Consider the following 21,602-nt stretch of genomic DNA (forward strand, 5'->3'; position numbering starts at 1 on the left):
GATTTCCCAAATGTCCACCTCCCCCCAGGACTCCTAACAGTAGGGGAAAGAGTGAATACGTACCCTTTTCCTGGAAAGTTTCTTGATTTGATTTAAAATTCCATGCACATTTTGCATTTTCCTCCATAATAGGTCATGTTTGTTTAACTTACATGAATAAGGTCAGGAAACACTCATGCTCTGGAAAAATGCACACCATGACATGACTTCCGGTACCCATGGGAGGCTGAGTATCTCAGTTTAAGAAACAGGAGTCGAGCTGGGCACGGTGGCTCACGTCTGTAGTCCCAGCACTTTGGGAGGTCGAGGAGGGCAGATCACCTGAAGTCAGGAGTTCAAGACCAGCCAGACCAACATGGTGAAACCCTGTCTCTACTAAAAATACAAAATTAGGCCGGGCATGGTGGCTCATGCCTGTAATCCCAGCACTTTGAGAGGCCGAGGCGGGCAGATCACCTGAGGTCGAGAGATTGAGACCAGCCTGACCAACATGGAGAAATCCAGTCTCTTAAAAAATACAGAATTAGCCGGGTGTGGTGGCACACGCCTGTAATCCCAGTTACTTGGGAGGCTGAGGCAGGAGAATCACTTGAACCTGGGAGGTGGATATTGCAGTGAGCCGAGATCACACCATTGCACTCCAGCCTGGGCAACAAGAGCGAAACTCTGTCTCAAAAAATAATAATAATAAGGCCGGGCACAGTGGCTCACGCCTGTAATCCCAGCACTTTGGGAGGCCGAGGCAGGAGGATCACAAGGTGAGGAGATTGAGACCATCCTGGCAAACACGATGAAACCCCATCTCTACTAAAAATATAAAAAATCAGCCAGGTGTGGCGGCACGCGCCTGTAGTCCCAGCTACTAGGGAGGCTGAGGCAGGAGAATCGCTTGAACCCAGGAGGCGGAGGTTGCAGTGAGCTGAGATCGCGCCACTGCACTCCAGCCTGGGAGACAGAGTGAGACTCTGTCTCAAAAAAAATAAAAAAGAAAAAAGTAATGAGAGAAATGCAAATGCAGAAAGAGAAATGCAAATGCCTGGCAGTATGTTGGGCTTCTTTTCAAAACTTAAAAAAATTTATTATTATTATTCATTTATTTATTTACTTTAGACAAGGGGTCTTGTTCTGTCACCCAGGCTGGAGTGCAGTGGTGCAATCGTAGCTCACTGTGGCCTTGAACTCCTGGGCTCAAGTGATCCTCCTGCCTCAGCCTCCCAAGCACCTGGGATTATAGGCATGCACCACCATGCCCAGCTAGTTTTTATAATAATAATAATAATAAGAGGCTTGCTTGAGGTGATGGATAGCTCATTTATCCCTTTTGTGATTATTACACATTGTATGCCTCTATCAAAATATATCATGTACCCCATAAACATATATACTTACCAGATACCCATAAAAGTAAATAAATAAATAAGTAAATAAATAAATATACAAAATTAGCCGGGCGTGGTGGCACATGCCTGTAATCCCAGCTACTTGGGAGACTGAGGTAGGAGAATCGCTTGAACCTGGGAGGCAGAGGTTGCGGTGGGCCGAGATCGTGCCATTGCACTCCAGCTTGGGCAACAAGAGCAAAACTCCGTCTCAAAAAAAAAAAAAAAAGAAAAGAAAAGAAACAGGAGTCTAGGGCTGGGCACAGTGGCTCATTGCCTGTAATCCCAGCACTTTGGGAGGCTGAGGTCAGGAGTTCGAGACCAGCCTGGCCAACGTGGCAAAACTCTGTCTCTACTAAAAATACAAAACACAAAATACAAAAATTAGCCAGGCGTGGTGGTGCACGCCTGTAGTCCCACCTGCTTAGGGAGGCTGAGGGAGGAGAGACAGAGCTTGCAGTGAGCCCAGATCACACCACTGCACTCCAGCCTGGGCAACAGAGCAAGTCTAAAAAAAAAAAAAAAAGGAAAGAGAGAAAAGAAACAGGAGTCTAGGCTGGGCATGGTGGTTCACGCCTGTAATCCCAGCACTTTGGGAGGCTGAGGTGGGTGGATCACTTGAGGTCAGGAGTTCAAGACCACCCTGGCCAACATGGTGAAACCCCCATCTCTACTAAAATTACAAAAATTAGCTGGGCGTGGTGACACATGCCTGTAGTCCTAGCTAGTCAGGGGGCTGAGGCAGGAGAATCACTTGAACCTGGGAGGTGGAGGTTCCAGTGAGCCAAGTTCACACCACTGAACTCCAGCCTAGGTGACAGAGTGAGATTCTGTCTGTTTTTTTTTCTTTTGAGATGGTATCTTGCTCTGTCACCTAGGCTAGAGTGCAATGGCGTGGTCTCAGCTCACTGCAACCTCCACCTCCATGGTTCAAGCAATTCTCCTGCCTCAGCCTCCCAAGAAGCTGGGATTACAGGCGCGCACCACCACGCCCAGCTAATTTTTGTATTTTTAGTAGAGACAGGGTTTCACCATGTTGGCCAGGCTTGTCTCGAACTCCTGACCATGTGATTTGCCCTCCTCAGCCTCCCAAAGTGCTGGGATTACAGGCATGAGCCACCGCGCCCAGCCGAGACTCTATTAAAAAAAGAAAAAAGAAAGAAACAGGAGTCTAAAGCAAAGGAGATTAATTACCCAGTCCCATTCTTCCACCTTCCAAAGCAGGAGTTGGTAGGACAGAATTGTGCACTGGTGAAAGTGTTTCTAAGCACTAAACTAAGCTAACATTCATGTGAGCTTATGAGAAATGGATGAAGAGCCCCATTTGACAGAAGAGGAAAAGTGAGGCTTAGGAGGAATGATTTCAGCAAAGTCACACAGTAAGTGTCAAAATTGCTATTTGAACTTAGGTCTCTAACTATGGGGACAGTCTTCTGAGTTTTGCTAATGAGAAACTTCCACTGCTCCCTGCTTCCACTTAGACCCAGCATGAATTCTCTCTCTCTGTCTCTCTTTTGTTTTTTCTTTTTAGACAGAGTCTCTGTCACCCAAGTTGGAGTGAACAGTGCGGTGGCAGTGGCAGGATCTAGGCTCACTGCAACCTCCACCTCTTGAGTTCAAGCAATTCTCCAGCCACCATGCCCAGCTAACTTTTTTTTTTTTTTTTTTTTTGTATTTTTAGTAGAGACAGGGTTTCACCATTGTTGGCCAGGCTGGTTGTCTTGAACTTCTGACCCCAGGTGATCCACCCACCTTGGCCTCCCAAAGTGCTGGGATTACAAGCATGAGCCACCGTGCCCAGCCTGCTCTTTTGAGATGGAGTCTCGCTCTGTCATCCAGGCTGGAGTGCAGTGGCTTGATCTCGGCTCACTGCAACCTCTGCCTCCCGGGTTCAAGTGATTCTCCTGCCTCAGCCTCCTGAGTAGCTGGGATTACAGGCGTGTGCCACCATGCCTGGCTAATTTTTGTATTTTTAGTAGACACGGGGTTTCACCATGTTGGTCAGGCTGGTCTTGAACACCTGACCTCGTGATCCACCCGCCTCAGCCTCCCAAAGTGCTGGGATTACAGGAATGAGCCATCGTGCCCGGACTTTTTTTTTTTTTTTTTTTTTTTTTTGAGACGGACGGAATCTCACTCTGTTGCCAGGCTGGAGTGCAATGGCGCAATTCCGGCTCACTGCAACCTCTACCTCCTGGGTTTAAGCGATTCTCCTGCCTCAGCCTCCTGAGTAGCTGAGATTACAGGCACCTGCCACCAAGCCCGATTAATTTTTGGATTTTTAGTAGAGGCAGGGTTGCACCATGTTGGCCAGGATGGTCTCGATCCCTTAATCTTGTGACCCACCCGCCTTGGCCTCCCAAAGTGCTGGGATTACAGGTGTGAGCCACCGCGCCTGGCCTTTTTTTTTTTTTTTTTGAGACAGGCTCTCGCTCTGTTATCCAGGCTGGAGTGCAGTGGCACAATCGTAGCTCATTGCAGCCTTGAGCTCCTGGGCTCAAGTGATCTTTTTGCCTCAGCCTCCCAAGTAGCTGGAACTACAGGCATGCCCCATCACACCTGGCTAATTTTTTGATTTTTTTTCTAGAGATGAGGTCTCACTATGTTGCCCAGGCTAGTCTGGAACTTCTGAGTTTGAATGGTCTTACTGCCTCAGTCTCCCAAAGTGCCGCGATTACAGATGTGAGCCACCACGCCCGGCCAGCAACTCCAGCTTTGCTCTACTCCAAATAGGTTGTGTGACTTTAAGCATACCTCTGTGGGCCTCAGTTTGCTCATCTAAAATCAGAGGTTTAGCCAGGTATGGCAGCTCATGCCTGTAATCCCAGCACTTTGGGAGGCCAAGAAGGAAGGATCACTTGAAGCCAAGAATTTGAGACCAGTCCGGGCAACATAGCAATACCCCCATCTCTAGAACAAATAAAAAATCACCTGGGCTCAGTGGTGCCAGCTACCCAGGAGGCTGAAGTTAGAGGATCACTTGAGCCCAGGAGTTTGAGGTTCCAGTGAGTTAGGATTGGGTCATTGCACTGCAGTCTGGGCAAGAGAGTGACACTTTATCTCAAAAATAAATCAACAAATAATAAAATTGGAGATTAGGCTTGCTGGTTTCTAAGACCTTTGCAGATGGGAGACTCTATGCATTAACACTGCATGTTCCAGTTGACATTTATTAACTAATTTTGGGTGCTGGTGGCTTTCAGACAAATAAACTACAGCTTCTGCTCTTGATGAACCCCCACTCTCATCAAAGGTATGGGAGAGGCAGTGGGACCCTGGGGCTGACATGTAAATCAGTAATCATGGAACTCTGTGTCTAAGTTGATTATTGAGGTCTGAATAGAATGTTGCAGGAGACTGGGGTGAGAGGGAAGCAAAGAGCATTGGGAAGTCTTCAGACTAGGTGATATTTAGGCCAGGTGCCTGTAATCCGAGCACTTTGGGAGGCTGAGGCAGGAGAATTGCTTGAGGCCAGGAGTTCGAGACCAGCCTGGCCAACATGGTGAAACCCTGTCTCTACTAAAAATACAAAAGTTAGCCAAGCGTGATGGTGCATGCCTGTAATCCCAACTACTCAGGAGGCCGAGGCAGGAGAATTGCTTGAACCTGGGAGGTAGAGGTTGCAGGAAAAAAAAAAAAGGTAATATTTCAGCTGAGCCTTGAAGGTTGAGTTAGAATTCAGCAGTTGGACAAAAGAGAGCATGCCGACTGGGTTCGGTGGTGCATGCCTATAATCCTAGCATTTGGGGAGGCCAAGGCAGGAGGATTGCTTGAGCCCAGGAGTTCGAGATCAGACTGGGCAACATAGTGAGACCTCATCTCTACAAAAAAATAATCAGCTGGGCATGATGGTGTGCACCTTTAGTCTCAGCTACTGGGGAGGTTGAGGTGGGAAGATTGCTTGAGCCCAGGAGGTCTAAGGGGATTGCGCCACTGCACTTCAGCCTGGGAGAGGAAGGGAGACCCTGTCTCAAGAGAGAGAGAGAAAGAGAGAGAGAGAGAGAAAGAGAGAGAGAGAGAGAAAGAGAGAGAGAGAGAGAGAGAGAGAGCGAGAGAGCGCACGCATTTCAAAGCAGGGAGAACCACAAGTACAAAGGCATTAAGTAAGAAAATAGCATGGGGTGTTTGGGAAAGGCAAGAATAGTTCAGAACACAGGCTGTGTGTGTGGGGGTGTGTGGGGGTGCCTGTGTGTGGGTGTTTGTGTGTGTGTGAGTGTGGGTGTGTGGGGGTATCTATGGAGGGGATGCCTGTGTGTGTGTGTAAGGTGAGTGTGTGGATGTGTGCATGGGTGTGGGTGAGTGTGTGGAGGTGCCTGTGTGTGTGTATGAATGTGTGTTGGGGAGGGGAGAATGTGTGTGTGTGGGGTGAGTGCGTGTGTGTGGGGGTGAATGCGTGTGTGTGTGTATGTGGGTGTGACTGTGTGGGTGTGTGGACGAGTGTGTGTGTTCCTGGGTGTGGGAGCCTGTGTGTGTAGGGGGAGTATGTATAGGGTGTGTGCATGAATGTGTGTGTGGGTACGTGTGTGAGAGTGGGTGCCTGTGTGTGGGGGGTGAGTGTGTGTGTGGGGGGGCACTTGTGGAGGGTGAGTGTATGTGTTTACTGAGTGTGAGTGTGGGTGCCTGTGTGTGGGAGGGTGAGTCTGTGTGTGAGTGTGTGGGGGAGTACCTGTGAGGGGTGAGTGTGTGTGTTTATGTGAAAGTGTGTGTGTGTGGATGCCTCTGTGGAGGTGGGATAGGGGGTGCCTCTGTGTGTGTGTGTGAGAGTGTGTGTGTGTAGGGTGTGTATATGTATAGGGTGTGTGTGAGTGTGTGTGTGTGAGAGAGTGTGTGTGTGGCAGAATAGACTGCGGAGGTGGATTTCATCTTGATATGAAAGGTCTGGAATGCATGGTACATTAAACTTTGAGGACAGCGCTTTCCAAGCACTCTGAGGAGCAGCCCTAGAGAAGGAGGAGCTGCAGGGACTCCGGGGGCTTCAAAGTGAGGGCCCCACTCTGCTTCAGGCAAAACAGGCACACATTTATCACTTTATCTATGGAGTTCTGCTTGATTTCATCAGACAAAAAATTTCCACTGCTAAAACAGGCAAATAAACAAAAAAAAAGTTATGGCCAACAGAGTCACTGGAGGGTTTTCTGCTGGGGAGAAGCAAGCCCGTGTTTGAAGGAACCCTGTGAGATGACTGTGGGCTGTGTGAGGGGAACAGCGGGGGCTTGATGGTGGACTTCGGGAGCAGAAGCCTCTTTCTCAGCCTCCTCAGCTAGACAGGGGAATTATAATAGGAGGTGTGGCGTGCACACCTCTCCAGTAGGGGAGGGTCTGATAAGTCAGGTCTCTCCCAGGCTTGGGAAAGTGTGTGTCATCTCTAGGAGGTGGTCCTCCCAACACAGGGTACTGGCAGAGGGAGAGGGAGGGGGCAGAGGCAGGAAGTGGGTAACTAGACTAACAAAGGTGCCTGTGGCGGTTTGCCCATCCCAGGTGGGAGGGTGGGGCTAGGGCTCAGGGGCCGTGTGTGAATTTACTTGTAGCCTGAGGGCTCAGAGGGAGCACCGGTTTGGAGCTGGGACCCCCTATTTTAGCTTTTCTGTGGCTGGTGAATGGGGATCCCAGGATCTCACAATCTCAGGTACTTTTGGAACTTTCCAGGGCAAGGCCCCATTATATCTGATGTTGGGGGAGCAGATCTTGGGGGAGCCCCTTCAGCCCCCTCTTCCATTCCCTCAGGGACCATGGGCTGTGGCTGCAGCTCACACCCGGAAGATGACTGGATGGAAAACATCGATGTGTGTGAGAACTGCCATTATCCCATAGTCCCACTGGATGGCAAGGGCACGGTAAGAGGCGAGACAGGGGCCTTGGTGAGGGAGTTGGGTAGAGAATGCAACCCAGGAGAAAGAAATGACCAGCACTACAGGCCCTTGAAAGAATAGAGTGGCCCTCTCCCCTGAAATACAGAAAGGAAAAGAGGCCCAGAGAGGGGAAGGGAATCTCCTAAGATCACACAGAAAGTAGTTGGTAAACTCAGGGATAACATCTAACCAGGCTGGAGAGGCTGAGAGCAGAGCAGGGGGGAAGGGGGCCAGGGTCTGACCCAATCTTCTGCTTTCTGACCCCACCCTCATCCCCCACTCCACAGCTGCTCATCCGAAATGGCTCTGAGGTGCGGGACCCACTGGTTACCTACGAAGGCTCCAATCCGCCGGCTTCCCCACTGCAAGGTGACCCCAGGCAGCAGGGCCTGAAAGACAAGGCCTGCGGATCCCTGGCTGTTGGCTTCCACCTCTCCCCCACCTACTTTCTCCCCGGTCTTGCCTTCCTTGTCCCCCACCCTGTAACTCCAGGCTTCCTGCCGATCCCAGCTCGGTTCTCCCTGATGCCCCTTGTCTTTACAGACAACCTGGTTATCGCTCTGCACAGCTATGAGCCCTCTCACGACGGAGATCTGGGCTTTGAGAAGGGGGAACAGCTCCGCATCCTGGAGCAGTGAGTCCCTCTCCACCTTGCTCTGGCGGAGTCCGTGAGGGAGCGGCGATCTCCGCGACCCGCAGCCCTCCTGCGGCCCTTGACCAGCTCGGGGTGGCCGCCCTTGGGACAAAATTCGAGGCTCAGTATTGCTGAGCCAGGGTTGGGGGAGGCTGGCTTAAGGGGTGGAGGGGTCTTTGAGGGAGGGTCTCAGGTCGACGGCTGAGCGAGCCACACTGACCCACCTCCGTGGCGCAGGAGCGGCGAGTGGTGGAAGGCGCAGTCCCTGACCACGGGCCAGGAAGGCTTCATCCCCTTCAATTTTGTGGCCAAAGCGAACAGCCTGGAGCCCGAACCGTAAGTGGGGACCCGTCGTGGGGGTGGGTAGGAGCAGATCTAGGGATCCTGGAGCAGGGAGTAGGCCTGGGGTGGCGGTGAAGGCTTGAGGGCCACGGAGGAAGATCCGACGACAGCCGACGGCCTTCGTTCGCTTCCGCCCTGCACAGCTGGTTCTTCAAGAACCTGAGCCGCAAGGACGCGGAGCGGCAGCTCCTGGCGCCCGGGAACACTCACGGCTCCTTCCTCATCCGGGAGAGCGAGAGCACCGCGGGTGAGCGGGCGGCGGTCTCGACCGGGCGCGGGGGTGCCCCGGGGTGTGCCCGAGGGGGGGCGCAGGGTGAGCCCGAGGTGGAGACACGGGGTGAGTCGGAGGGGGACGCGGGATGAGCCCGAGGTGGGGGCGCGGGATGACCCGGAGTTGGGGGTGCTGGGTGAGCCCAAGGTGGGGGCGCGGTGGCGGGCCAGACTCACTGCGTTCTTTCGTCGCTTTGTCCATCCATTCATTCATTCAGGATCGTTTTCACTGTCGGTCCGGGACTTCGACCAGAACCAGGGAGAGGTGGTGAAACATTACAAGATCCGTAATCTGGACAACGGTGGCTTCTACATCTCCCCTCGAATCACTTTTCCCGGCCTGCATGAACTGGTCCGCCATTACACCAGTGAGCCCGACGGGACCCCTCCCCCGTGCCCTATCAGCCTATCTCCCCTCAGTCCCCCTCAGGTGTCCCCCATCCATCTTTCAATGCCCTACTCCATTCCCCGCAGTGGGTGAGGTGTGGAACCTGACCCTACGGCCCCAAGTGTTTGGGTGACAGCCCCACACCCCCTTGCTAGTCCACTTCACCTAGATGGGGGCTTGGAGAAGTGGGGGAGGTGGTGTCAATACGAGGCCTGCCCTATTGACAGCCTTCACCCCTCCCTCGTCCTCGCAGATGCTTCAGATGGGCTGTGCACACGGTTGAGCCGCCCCTGCCAGACCCAGAAGCCCCAGAAGCCGTGGTGGGAGGACGAGTGGGAGGTTCCCAGGGAGACGCTGAAGCTGGTGGAGCGGCTGGGGGCTGGACAGTTCGGGGAGGTGTGGATGGGTGAGTGTGGCCTCCAGGACTGCCTGGGAAGAGGGGAACGGGAGGGGCCGCTGAGGTGATGAGAGTCCCAGGACAGCTGCCTGGCGACTTTCCCACTCCTTCCCTTCCCCGACCCAGGGTACTACAACGGGCACACGAAGGTGGCGGTGAAGAGCCTGAAGCAGGGCAGCATGTCCCCGGACGCCTTCCTGGCCGAGGCCAACCTCATGAAGCAGCTGCAACACCAGCGGCTGGTTCGGCTCTACGCTGTGGTCACCCAGGAGCCCATCTACATCATCACTGAATACATGGAGAATGGTGGGTGCTACCCGAGTCGGCTACCAGGGGATACTGCTCTCCCTGCTGTCCCTGCCAGAGGGTGGAAATACACCTTTTCTTCTGGCCCAAAGCTCAAGCAAGGAGGGTTTCTTGAGCTTTCCTGCCCCCTGGAGACTCACCTCCAGCCGGGCGCGGTGGCTCAGGCCTGTAATCCCAGCACTTTGGGAGCCGAGGCGGGCAGATCACGAGGTCAGGAGTTCGAGACCAGCCTGACCAATATGGTGAAACTCTGTCTCTACTAAAAATACAAAAAGTAGCCAGGTGTGGTGGCACATGCCTGTAATCCCAGCTACTCAGAAGACTGAGGCAGGAGAATCCCTTTAATCCGGGAGGTGGAGGCTACAGTTGCAGTGAGCTGAGATCATGCCACTGAACTCCAGCCTGGGTGACAGAGCAAGACTCTATCAAAAAAAAAAAAAAAAAAAAGACTCACCTCCAGGCATGAGAAAAAGGTGTATCCTCTGATCTGATCCTGTCTGGGGGCAAGCCTAAGGTGGCAAGAATGTTCTGGAAGAGCATTCACCCCAACCTTCCCTGACCTGCCATTCTGTTTGCCTTCTTCAAAGCCCTACCTTGATCTCAGGATGCTTGATCTCAGAAAGCAAGTGGGTCCCTAGCCCTGTTTCTCTCCCTTCTGCCCCTGAGCCCTAGGAGGGCAGATCTGCCCCCAAAGCCCTCTTTTTCAGTTCTGAGTGAGACCCCCACCCCTGCACCCCTCTTGGTCTGTTACTGGACAGAGTGAGAGCCCCAGGAAGAGGAATATGAGTTTCTAGCTTCAGCTTTGTTCACACCGATTTGCCGTGTGACAGGCCAAGTGCCTGCACTGTCTCTGGTGCTCAGTTTCCCCAAGTATAACAGCAGAAATCTAAATGGGCTCACCAGAAATAATACAGAGTATTCATCAAGGCCTCTAGAGTCTGACTGCCTGGGTCAGAAGCCTGGCTTCATGATTTTATGGCTTTGTGATAATTATATCACCTCTTTCTGCCATGGTTTCCTACTATAATAACGCGTTAGTAACTTCCTCACAGGGTCTTGTGAGGATGAAATAATTAATGCATACAGAGCAGTTAGAACTATGCCTACTTCCAGGTGCTGTGGCTCAAGCCTATAACTCCAGCACTTTGGGAGGCCAAGGTGGGTGGATCACTTGAGCCCAGAAGTTCAAGACCAGTCTGTGCAACATAGCGAGACTTCATTCCTACAAAAAAATGTTTAAAAATTAGCTGGGCATAGTGGTGTATGCCTGTAGTCCCAGCTACTTGGGAGGCTGAGGTGGGAGGATCACTTGAGCCCAGGAGGTTGAGGCTGCACTGAGCTGTGATTGCACCACTGCACTCCAACCTGGGTAACAGAGCGAGACCTTGTCTCAAAACAAAAAACCCACAAAACTATGGCTACCATATAGTAACTGATCAATAAGTTTGTTGCTGTTATCTGGCTCTGATTCTTTGGGAGTGTAAGATCTATCCTTTTTTCAGGAAGAGAAACAAGCTGTTCATTGGCTAATGGGAAATGGCAAATAGATTATGTCATGTGTATCTTTTTTTTTTTTGAGTCTCACTCTGTCCTCCAGGCTGGAGTGCAGTGGCATGATCTCGGCTCACTTCAGCCTCCCCCTCCTGGGTTCAAATGATTCTCATGCCTCAGTCTCCCAAGTAGCTGGGACTACAAGCATGTGCCACCATGCCTGGCTAATTTTTGTATTTTTAGTAGAGACAGGTTTTCGCCTTGTTGGCTAGGCTGGTCTCGATCTCCTGTCCTCAGGTGATCCTCCCGCCTTGGCCTCCCAAAGTGCTGGGATTACAGATGTGAGCCACCATGCCCAGCCTATCATGTGTATCGACTTTGATTGGTAGTTGCTTGTAGTGCTGGAGAAGGATTCTGAGGTTCATTGGAAGTGAGTGCCAGGAATGATTAGTAACATCTGCCATGGATACAATGGAAGAATGGCAGTATATCTATGTCTATGTATTTGCTGTGTGTAGGTGAGGTCTTTGTCTTTGGTAACTAGTTCAGCACTCAAAGTGGGGACACTCAGGTTGCTGTCATCCTTTTACAGGGTTTTAATCTCTTGGGAAGGGCCATTGGTCACTCACTGCATCCTAGCAACTCCCATCCATGTCCAGCTGCCCTCCACTATTAGAGAGGTGGTCCCTCAGACCCCCAGACCCCCTCTTTCTTATTCCATCCAATATATTCAGCACATAGTTATTGTTTCTTACTCTCGGCTGGGCACCAGGAACATGGATGGATGAAACAAGGTTCCTGTTGTCAGGGAAACCTGATTTTAGTTACAGCTACTGGGGAAACCAGAGTTTGTGCCATGGGAAAGTTCCAGCATGCCCATGGGAGTGTAGATGATGATCCAGTTTATTATGCCTGGTAGGATCTAGAGAGGCTTCCTAGTGGGGCAGTCTAGCAGGGCCACGAAAGAAAAGTAGAATTTTTTTTAGCAGGCAGAGATGAAACAAAGAGGCTTTGGGGTGAGAGCCTAGTGGTCTGAGTGCAGGATCTCAAAATTGCTAAACTGTTTGAAGTCAAAGGCAGAGTGGGGGAAAGAGAAGAAGCTACCAGTGTGGACCATGCCAAGCTTAGGATACTAGTTGAGGATTCTAGGTTCTACCTTATTGGTGATGAAAAACCTACAGATCCCTCCCAGCATGCTCTACCCTAGCCCCTCTGCAAAAAAACCTTTACATATCCTGGGCATCCTTACCCTGAACACACACTCCTCCATTCTCACTCTTCAATCTTCCTTTTCACATGTCAGACACACTTCTAGACTCCCAGTTGGAGGAGAAAGGTCTGGGGGCCTCCCCCTGGGGCAACTTGGGCCAGCAACTCTTGCTTCTGCCCACAGGGAGTCTAGTGGATTTTCTCAAGACCCCTTCAGGCATCAAGTTGACCATCAACAAACTCCTGGACATGGCAGCCCAAGTAAGGAGACTGGGGAGGGGGGCTGGGCAAGGGAACAGACCAGTGACGTGAAGACATCTGGCTCAGGACCGCTGATCTGTGTTTGGCCTGCAGATTGCAGAAGGCATGGCATTCATTGAAGAGCGGAATTATATTCATCGTGACCTTCGGGCTGCCAACATTCTGGTGTCTGACACCCTGAGCTGCAAGATTGCAGACTTTGGCCTAGCACGCCTCATTGAGGACAACGAGTACACAGCCAGGGAGGGTACGTGTGAGATTTAAGGGTGGTCTGGGCCCTGCAGGGTCTGGCCAAGCAGACCCAGGTGACCTCACTCTGCCTCCTCCTTAGGGGCCAAGTTTCCCATTAAGTGGACAGCGCCAGAAGCCATTAACTACGGGACATTCACCATCAAGTCAGATGTGTGGTCTTTTGGGATCCTGCTGACGGAAATTGTCACCCACGGCCGCATCCCTTACCCAGGTTAGAGCCAAGGGCAGGAACTGAAAGGGTGATGGGAAGGGCAAGTCCATGTCTTCCCATTCAATTCTTTCCAGTCTCAGAATCTGAAACTTTGTAGCTGCATCTCCTCTATCTTCTCAGGGGTATGAGTCCAACGTCCCCAGGCAGATGCCACATCTCCCAGGGCTGGCTTCCATCTCCGTATCTCTCTTTAATAACCCCAGCTCTTTTCTTTTTCTCTTTTTTTCTTTTTCTTTTTTTTTTTTTTTTTTTTTTTTTTTTTTGAGACGGAGTCTTGCTCTGTCTCCCAGGCTGGGGTGCAGTGGCGCCATCTTGGATCACTGCAACCTCTGCCTCCTGGGTTCAAGTGATTCTCCTGCCTCAGCCTCCCAAATAGCTAGGATTACAGGTACGTGCCACCATGCGCAGCTAATTTTTTGTATTTTTAGTAGAGACAGGGTTTCACCATGTTAGCCAGGATGGCCTCAATCTCCTGACCTCGTGATTGGCCTGCCTCGGCCTCCCAGTGTTGGGATTACAGGCGTGAGCCACCACACCCGGCCCCAGCTCTTTTCTTTAGTTCTGGCCCAGGCAGCCTGGTATGGTAGAAGAAGATCTAGCTCAGGAACAAGAGGCCTACCTTTTATCAGCAGATCTGCCACTGTTGCTAACTTTCTGTTTGGCTTTGTTCAGATCATTACTGTAACTAGTGAAGCTAGTCACTTCACTTCTCTAAGCCTCAGTTTCCTGATACTAAAAATAAGAGACTAGGCCAGGTACAGTGGCTTATGCCTATAATCTCAGAACTTTGGGAGACCAAGGTGGGAGGACTGCTTGAGCCCAGGAGTTCGAGACCAGCCTGGGAAACTGGTCGAAACCCCATCTCTACAAAAACAAAAGTTAGCCAGGTTTGGTGGCATGTGCCTCTAGTCCCAGCTACTCAGAAGGCTGAGGTGGGAGGATCACCTGAGCCAGGGAGGCAGAGGTTGCAGTGAGCCAAGACCATGCCATAACACTCCAGCCTAGGGCAATAGACCAAGACCCTGTCTCAAAACAAGAAAAAGAGAGACTCCATCTCTACAAAAAAAAAAAAACAAACAAACAAAAAAAACATTTAAAAATTAGCTGGGCATGGTGGCACACACCCGTAGTTTCAGCTATTTGGGAGGCTGAGGTGGGAGGATCATTTGAGCCCAGGAGGTTGAGGGTGCAGTGAGCCATGATTGTTCTATTGCACTCCAGCCTGAGCAACAGAGAGAGAATTTGTCTCAAAAAAAAAAAAAAAGAAAAAGAAAAAGAAAAAAGAAAAAATGAGAGACCATTTGTGAAAGAGCCTGACTCATAGTAGGTTGTCAGTATACACTGACTCCTCCCACCATCTCCTGGACAAAGCCCTTTACCCCTGAATTCAGCCAAGACAGGGATGGAATTTTTGAAAGGAACTTGCTAAGAAACTCTGGGGAAAGGAAATGGAGCATAAAGACAGGAGTAGGGGGGTCATGCGGCACAGTGGCTAGATTTGTAGAAGCTTCCCATATCCCCAGAGCAAGGTGAACAGACCTTTGCTCCAAGGAAGGTAAAGACACCTTGGAAGGCCGGATGCAGTGGCTCACACCTGTAATACCAGCACTTTGGGAGGCCGAGGCGGGTGGATCACAAGGTCAGGTGTTCGAGACCAGCCTGACCAACATGGTGAAACCCCGTCTCTACTAAAAAAAATATATATAAAAATTATCTGGGCATGGTGGCACGCGCCTGTAACCCTAGATACTCAGGAGGCTGAGGCAGGAGAATTGCTTGAACCCAGGAGGCAGAGGTTGCAGTGAGCTGAGATCATGCCACCGCACTCCAGCCTGGGTGACAAAGTGAGACTCTGTTTCAAAACAAAAACAAAAACAACCACCTTGGAAACAGGTGAAAAGCTGAGGGGCTTCCCTGCCCTGGGCTTGCCCCAAACCAGCGTCCAGGGGTAGTGCTGGAGCTGGAAATACAGAAATATTCTCCAGTTATCCTGCCAGGGGTCCTCACTGCTCCTTCCCGGTTCCCACAGAGGCAAACCCATAGGGAATGTATCTATTAGAAGAAAATAGGCAGTGAAAGCATGATGATAAATGGCAACTGACATATAGCATTAGGGTCAGGGAGACAATGGGGAGAAATGGGGACCTTGGTAAACTTGCAGCTGCTCCAGCAGATGGCTGCAATTAAGGCGTGGGGGACCCAAAAAAACAGATCTTTTGTTTTTTTAAGAGAAGCCCAAACTTGGAGTTTTAGGAAAATCTGTTCATTTCCATTTATTGGCGATTGATTCAAATTGTTTAAAAGCACTCTAGGGGCTGGGCACGGTGACTCACACCTGTAATCCCAGCACTTTGGGAAGCTGAGGTGGGTGGATCACAAGGTGAGGAGTTTGAGACCAGCCTGGCCAACATGGTGAAACCCTGCCTCTACTAAAAATACAAAAATATTAGCCAGGCGTGGTGTTGGGCACTGGTAGTCCCAGCCACTCAAGAGGCTGGGGCAAGAGAATCACTTGAACCCTGGAGGCGGAAGTTGCAGTGAGCCATGATCACGCTGTTGCACTCCAGCCTGGGTGACAGAGTGAGAGTCCATCTCAAAAATAAATATAAATAAATTAAATAAATAAATTAATTAAATGAATAAATAAATAAAACCACTCTAGGGCCAATCCAAAGTGGATCTGTGGGCTATACTCAGGCTGGATTTAGCCTGTGGGCTTGCACCCTTAACTCTGGCCATGGGTGTTTAGTTCCGTGGCCTATGTCCTCCTATGCCCCAGTTTTAAAATGTGAGAGTCCCAGCCAGGCGTGGTGGGTCACGCCTGCAACCCAGCACTTTGGGAGGCTGAGATGAGCGGATCACGTGGTCAGGAGGTGGAGACCAGCCTGACCAACATAGTGAAACCCCATCTCTACTAAAAATACAAAAATTAACCGGGTGTGGTGGCATGCACCTGTAGTCCCAGCTACTCGGGAAGCTGAGACAGGGGAATCATTTGAACCTGGGAGGCGGAGGTTGCAGTGAGCCGAGACTGTACCATTGCACTCCAGCCTGGGCAACAGAGCGAGACTCTGTCTCAAAAAAAAAAAAAAAAAAAAAAAATTGTGAGAGTCCCATAGGCAGAGGCTCCCTTGTACAAGTCCTGGGGAAAAAGGGTCTCTGTTGACCAGGCTTTAGTCCCAAGCTTTCCAGGAGCAAAACTTTGATTTTGTAAATACCCTATAAGGTTTTGGTCTTTGGGAACTGCTTGTCACAATCTTTGTTCAGAAGACTGAAGGAGAAACCAGACACTACATGAGCAATTTAGAAATAGGGAAGGAGGGAGCTATGTTACTGCTGTGATCATGTAGTTCTCCAGAGCAGCTCTTCTTGGGGTCTACATGCCAAAAGCCTGCCAGAGGGGCCAGGACCAGCATAAAGGGAGGGAACCAGCCCAAAGACTATTTCATCTGGGTCATGGAGGGGCCTGGGGAACCTTCTCAAGTCCAAGCAAGGTCTGCTTTGCTAGGCCCAGGGTCCATTTGGCTTCGTGATGCAGGATGTCATGTGCCTGGTCTTAAAACTGGAGAGACCTCACCACTGTCTTGGTTGTGGGTGCCCATCCTGCCCTGGGCCCTGACCATCTCATCATTCCTACCAAATAATAATAATCCCAGGTGCCCTTTATTATTTATTTATTTATGTATTTATTTCAGACAGAGTCTCTGTCACCCAGGCTGGAGTGCAGTGGCATGATCTCAGCTCACTGCAACCTCTACCTCCTGGGTTTAAGCGATTCTCCTGCCTCAGTCTCTCGGGTAGCTGGAATTACAGGTGTGTGCCACCACGCCCAGCTAATTTTTGTATTTTTTTAGTACAGACAGGTTTTTACTATGTTGACCAGGCTGGTTTCAAACTCCTGACCCCAGGTGATCCACCCGGCTTGGCCTCCCAAAGTGTTGGGATTACAGGCGTGAGCCACCGCAGATGGCCTCAGGTGCCCTTTATGAAGCATCTCCGATCCAGACTTTCTGTGCCTGGATAGATTTGATGCTTTCTGTGATATATATATATATATATATCTGTGAGATATATATATCTGTGAGATATATATATATCTGTGAGAGATATATATATGTGAGATATATATATAATAATATATATATTATTTTTATTTTTAATTTTTTTGAGACAAGAGTCTGGCTTGAGTTGCTCAGGCTGGAGTGCAGTGGCACAGTCTCAGCTCACTACAACCTCTGCACCTCCACCTCCCAGGTTCAAGCAATTACTGTGACTCAGCCTCCCAAATAGCTGGGACTACAGGCGCATACCACCAAGCCTGGCTAATTTTTGTATTTTTAGTAAAGATGGGGTTTTGCCATGTTGGTCAGGCTGGTCTTGAACTCCTGGCCTCAAGTGATCTGCCTGCTTTGGCCTCCCACCATGCTGGGATTACAGGCATGAGCCACCATGCCTGGCCTGTGCACTATATTTGATGCTTTCTGTGCACAATCTCATTTAATCCTCATAACAATTCTATGAGGTAGGAACAGTTATTTACTCTATTTTCCAAATAAGGAAACTGGGCTCGCCCAAGGTTCCACAACTAACATGTGTGTATTATTGAGCATTTAATTTACACCAGGGAAGCAGGTTGTGGTGGTGTGCACCTGTTGTCCAGCTATTTAGGAGGCTGAGGTGAAAGGATCACTTGAACGGAGGAGTTCAAATTTGCAATGTGCTATGATTGTGCCTGTGAACAGCTGCTGCACTCCAGCCTGGGCAACATAGTGAGATCCCTTATCTAAAACATTTTTTTTAAGTAAATAATCAGGTGGGCACGGTGGCTCACGCCTGTAATCCAGCACTTTGGGAGGCTGAGGCGGGCGGATCACCTGAGGTCAGGAGTTCAAGACCAGCCTGACCAACATGGAGAAACCCGTCTCTACTAAAAATACAAAATTAGCTTGGCGTGGTGGTGCATGCCTGTAATCCCAGCTACTCGAGAAGCTGAGGCAGGAGAATTGTTTGAACCTGGGAGGTGGAGGTTGCGGTGAGCCGAGATCGCACCATTGCACTCCAGCCTGGGCAACAAGAGTGAAATTGCATCTCAAAAAAAAAGAAAAGGAAATAATCTATACCAGGCACTCCAAGTGGTGTGACTGATATTCAACAAGTACCTCTAGTGTGACCTTACCATTGATGAAGACCAAGATTCTTTTGGATTGGTGCTCACACTGTGCCAGTTAAATATTCCGAACATTACCCTTGCCTGTGGGCTTCCAGTGCCTGACCTTGATGTCCTTTCACCCATCAACCCGTAGGGATGACCAACCCGGAGGTGATTCAGAACCTGGAGCGAGGCTACCGCATGGTGCGCCCTGACAACTGTCCAGAGGAGCTGTACCAACTCATGAGGCTGTGCTGGAAGGAGCGCCCAGAGGACCGGCCCACCTTTGACTACCTGCGCAGTGTGCTGGAGGACTTCTTCACGGCCACAGAGGGCCAGTACCAGCCTCAGCCTTGAGAGGCCTTGAGAGGCCCTGGGGTTCTCCCCCTTTCTCTCCAGCCTGACTTGGGGAGATGGAGTTCTTGTGCCATAGTCACATGGCCTATGCACATATGGACTCTGCACATGAATCCCACCCACATGTGACACATATGCACCTTGTGTCTGTACACGTGTCCTGTAGTTGCGTGGACTCTGCACATGTCTTGTACATGTGTAGCCTGTGCATGTATGTCTTGGACACTGTACAAGGTACCCCTTTCTGGCTCTCCCATTTCCTGAGACCACAGAGAGAGGGGAGAAGCCTGGGATTGACAGAAGCTTCTGCCCACCTACTTTTCTTTCCTCAGATCATCCAGAAGTTCCTCAAGGGCCAGGACTTTATCTAATACCTCTGTGTGCTCCTCCTTGGTGCCTGGCCTGGCACACATCAGGAGTTCAATAAATGTCTGTTGATGACTGTTGTACATCTCTTTGCTGTCCACTCTTTGTGGGTGGGCAGTGGGGGTTAAGAAAATGGTAATTAGGTCACCCTGAGTTGGGGTGAAAGATGGGATGAGTGGATGTCTGGAGGCTCTGCAGACCCCTTCAAATGGGACAGTGCTCCTCACCCCTCCCCAAAGGATTCAGGGTGACTCCTACCTGGAATCCCTTAGGGAATGGGTGCGTCAAAGGACCTTCCTCCCCATTATAAAAGGGCAACAGCATTTTTTACTGATTCAAGGGCTATATTTGACCTCAGATTTTGTTTTTTTAAGGCTAGTCAAATGAAGCGGCGGGAATGGAGGAGGAACAAATAAATCTGTAACTATCCTCAGATTTTTTTTTTTTTTTGAGACTGGGTCTCACTTTTTCATCCAGGCTGGAGTGCAGTCGCATGATCACGGCTCACTGTAGCCTCAACCTCTCCAGCTCAAATGCTCCTCCTGTCTCAGCCTCCCGAGTACCTGGGACTACTTTCTTGAGGCCAGGAATTCAAGAACAGAGTAAGATCCTGGTCTCCAAAAAAAGTTTTAAAAAAATCAAACACACTTAGCCGAGCATAGTAGCTCATGCTTGTAGTCCCAGCAGATCAGGAGGCTGAGGCATGAGGATTGCTTGAGATATGATTGTGCCACTGTGGCACTCCAGAGTAGGCGACGAAGGGAGATCCTGTCTCAAAAAAAAAAAAAAAAAAAAAGGGAAGGCTTCATTGAGAAGGTAGGTGGCTTTTGAGCAAAGATTCCAAGGTGAAGGAGTGAGCCTTGTATGGAGGAGGGGAGGAGCAGTCAGCCAGAGGGAACAGGGTGAGGCAGGCGTTTACCGGGCATGCTCTGAGAGAGGGGGATAGATCCTACAGGCCTGGGGCCTTGTGGCCTCTGCAGAAGCCATTTTGAGGAAACTTTGCAGGAATCTCTGCAAAGCTGATATGATCTGAATTACATTTTATTTTATTTATTTATTTTTGAAATAAATAATGAAATTATTTATTTATTTTTTCTTGCTCTGTCGCCCAGGCTGGAGTGCAGTGGCGCGATCTCGGCTCACTGCAAGCTCTGCCTCCCGGGTTCATGCCATTCTCCTGCCTCAGTCTCCCGAGTAGCTGGGACTACAGGCGTCCACCACCAAGCCTGGGTAATTTTTTTGTATTTTTAGTAGAGATGGGGTTTCACCGTGTTAGCCAGGATGGTCTGGATCTCCTGACCTTGTGATCCGCCTGCCTCGGCCTCCCAAAGTGCTGGGATTACAGGTGTGAGCCACCACACCCGGCCTCTTTTTTTTATTTTTAATTGAGATGGGGTCTCACTCTGTCACCCAGGCTGGAGAACAAAGGTGAAATCTCGGCTCCCTGCAGCCTCTGCCTCCTGGGCTCAAACAATCCTCCCACCTCAGCCTCCTCAGTAGCTGGGACCACAGGCATACACCAACACTCCCGGCTAATTTTTTGTATTTTCGGTGGAGACGGGGTTTCACCATGTTGCCCAGGCTGATCTCAAACTCCTAAGCTCAAGTGATCCATGTTCCTCAGCCTCCCAAAGTGCTGGGATTATAGGCGTGAGCCATAGCGTCCAGCCCTGACTTACATTTTAAAAGGATGGCTCTTGCTGCTGTCTTGAAAATAGACTGAGTTAGTCAGTTTATAAAACTGGGGAGATTTTGCATAAAACTCCAGATTTCTGCCTTCTCTTGAAAAATAGGGGCTAGGTGCGTTGGCTCACTCCTATAATCCCAGCATTTTGGAAGGCCAAGGTGGGCAGATTGCTTGAGCCCAGGAGTTTAAGACCAGACTGGACAACATGGCAAAACCCTGTCTCTACCAAAAAAAAAAAAAAATTAGCAGGGTGTGGTGGTGCACACCTGCAGTCCCAGCTACTCAGGAGGCAAGCTTGTATTCCTAGCTACTTAGGAGGATAGTTTGAGCCCAGGAAGTCAAGGCTGCAGTGAGCATGATCCTGCCATTGCACTCCAGCCAGAGCAAAAAAGAGAGCGAAACCCCATCTCAAAAAAAAGGGAAGATTTAGCTATGTTGGACTTACCTGTCCTCATGGAGCTGAATAATGGCCACCCCTCCAGGTAGGGCCTGAACTCTACCTTTGCCAGAGTCCCCTCCACTCCCTGTTGGTCTTAGACAATGAAACTGAGTGTTAGTAGCTATTTACCACCAAGCTCATGCTTGTTGTTCTTATAATAAAGATAAATGGTTTAATAAATGGTATGATAAAGAAAATTATATTATGGTATTATACCATTTAATAAATGGTATAATAAAGAAAATGGTTTTTTGCACCCACATTTCCATTAAAAAGTGAGAAAATTAAAGATACCTGAGGATGGCAGAGTGTTTGATGAAAGATAGGGAAATGTTGGCCAGGCACCGTGGCTCACACCTGTAATCCCAGCAGTTTAGGAGGCCGGGGCAGGCGGATCACAAGGTCAGGAGTTCAAGATCAGCCTGGCCAACATAGTGAAACCCCGTCTCTACTAAAAATACAAAAAATTAGCCGGGAGTGGTGGCAGGTGCCTACAATCCCAGCTACTCGGAAGGCTGAATGGCGCGATCTCAGCTCATTGCAACCTCTGCCTCCCAGGTTCAAGCCATTCTTCTGCCTTAGCCTCCCTAGTAGCTGGGATTACAGGCGCCTGCC

The 21,602-nt window shown here is 50.1% G+C and overlaps 1 protein-coding gene across 8 annotated transcripts in view; it reads left to right on the top strand.

Moving 5' to 3' along the window:
- Positions 1 to 18,944, top strand: part of LCK (LCK proto-oncogene, Src family tyrosine kinase) — a 34,901-nt gene extending 15,957 nt beyond the window's left edge. The window contains exons 1-13 of one of the 8 annotated variants that reach the window (NM_001042771.3): positions 6,900 to 7,005; positions 7,104 to 7,213; positions 7,516 to 7,597; positions 7,772 to 7,862; positions 8,100 to 8,198; positions 8,348 to 8,451; positions 8,693 to 8,842; positions 9,116 to 9,268; positions 9,386 to 9,565; positions 12,450 to 12,526; positions 12,620 to 12,773; positions 12,858 to 12,989; positions 18,293 to 18,944. In NM_001042771.3, coding sequence (NP_001036236.1) covers positions 7,109 to 7,213; positions 7,516 to 7,597; positions 7,772 to 7,862; positions 8,100 to 8,198; positions 8,348 to 8,451; positions 8,693 to 8,842; positions 9,116 to 9,268; positions 9,386 to 9,565; positions 12,450 to 12,526; positions 12,620 to 12,773; positions 12,858 to 12,989; positions 18,293 to 18,495 — 1,530 coding nt within the window. In that variant the 5' untranslated portion in view covers positions 6,900 to 7,005; positions 7,104 to 7,108 and the 3' untranslated portion in view covers positions 18,496 to 18,944. Of the gene's footprint in view, positions 1 to 6,899; positions 7,214 to 7,515; positions 7,863 to 8,099; positions 8,199 to 8,347; positions 8,452 to 8,692; positions 8,843 to 9,115; positions 9,269 to 9,385; positions 9,566 to 12,449; positions 12,527 to 12,619; positions 12,774 to 12,857; positions 12,990 to 18,292 lie in introns of those variants that run through there. The other 7 variants (NM_005356.5, XM_047420399.1, XM_024447047.2 and 4 more) reach the window with 7 other exon arrangements.

The sequence above is a fragment of the Homo sapiens genome, chromosome 1 (genome assembly GCF_000001405.40).
Source record: "Homo sapiens chromosome 1, GRCh38.p14 Primary Assembly".
NCBI lineage: Eukaryota > Metazoa > Chordata > Mammalia > Primates > Hominidae > Homo > Homo sapiens.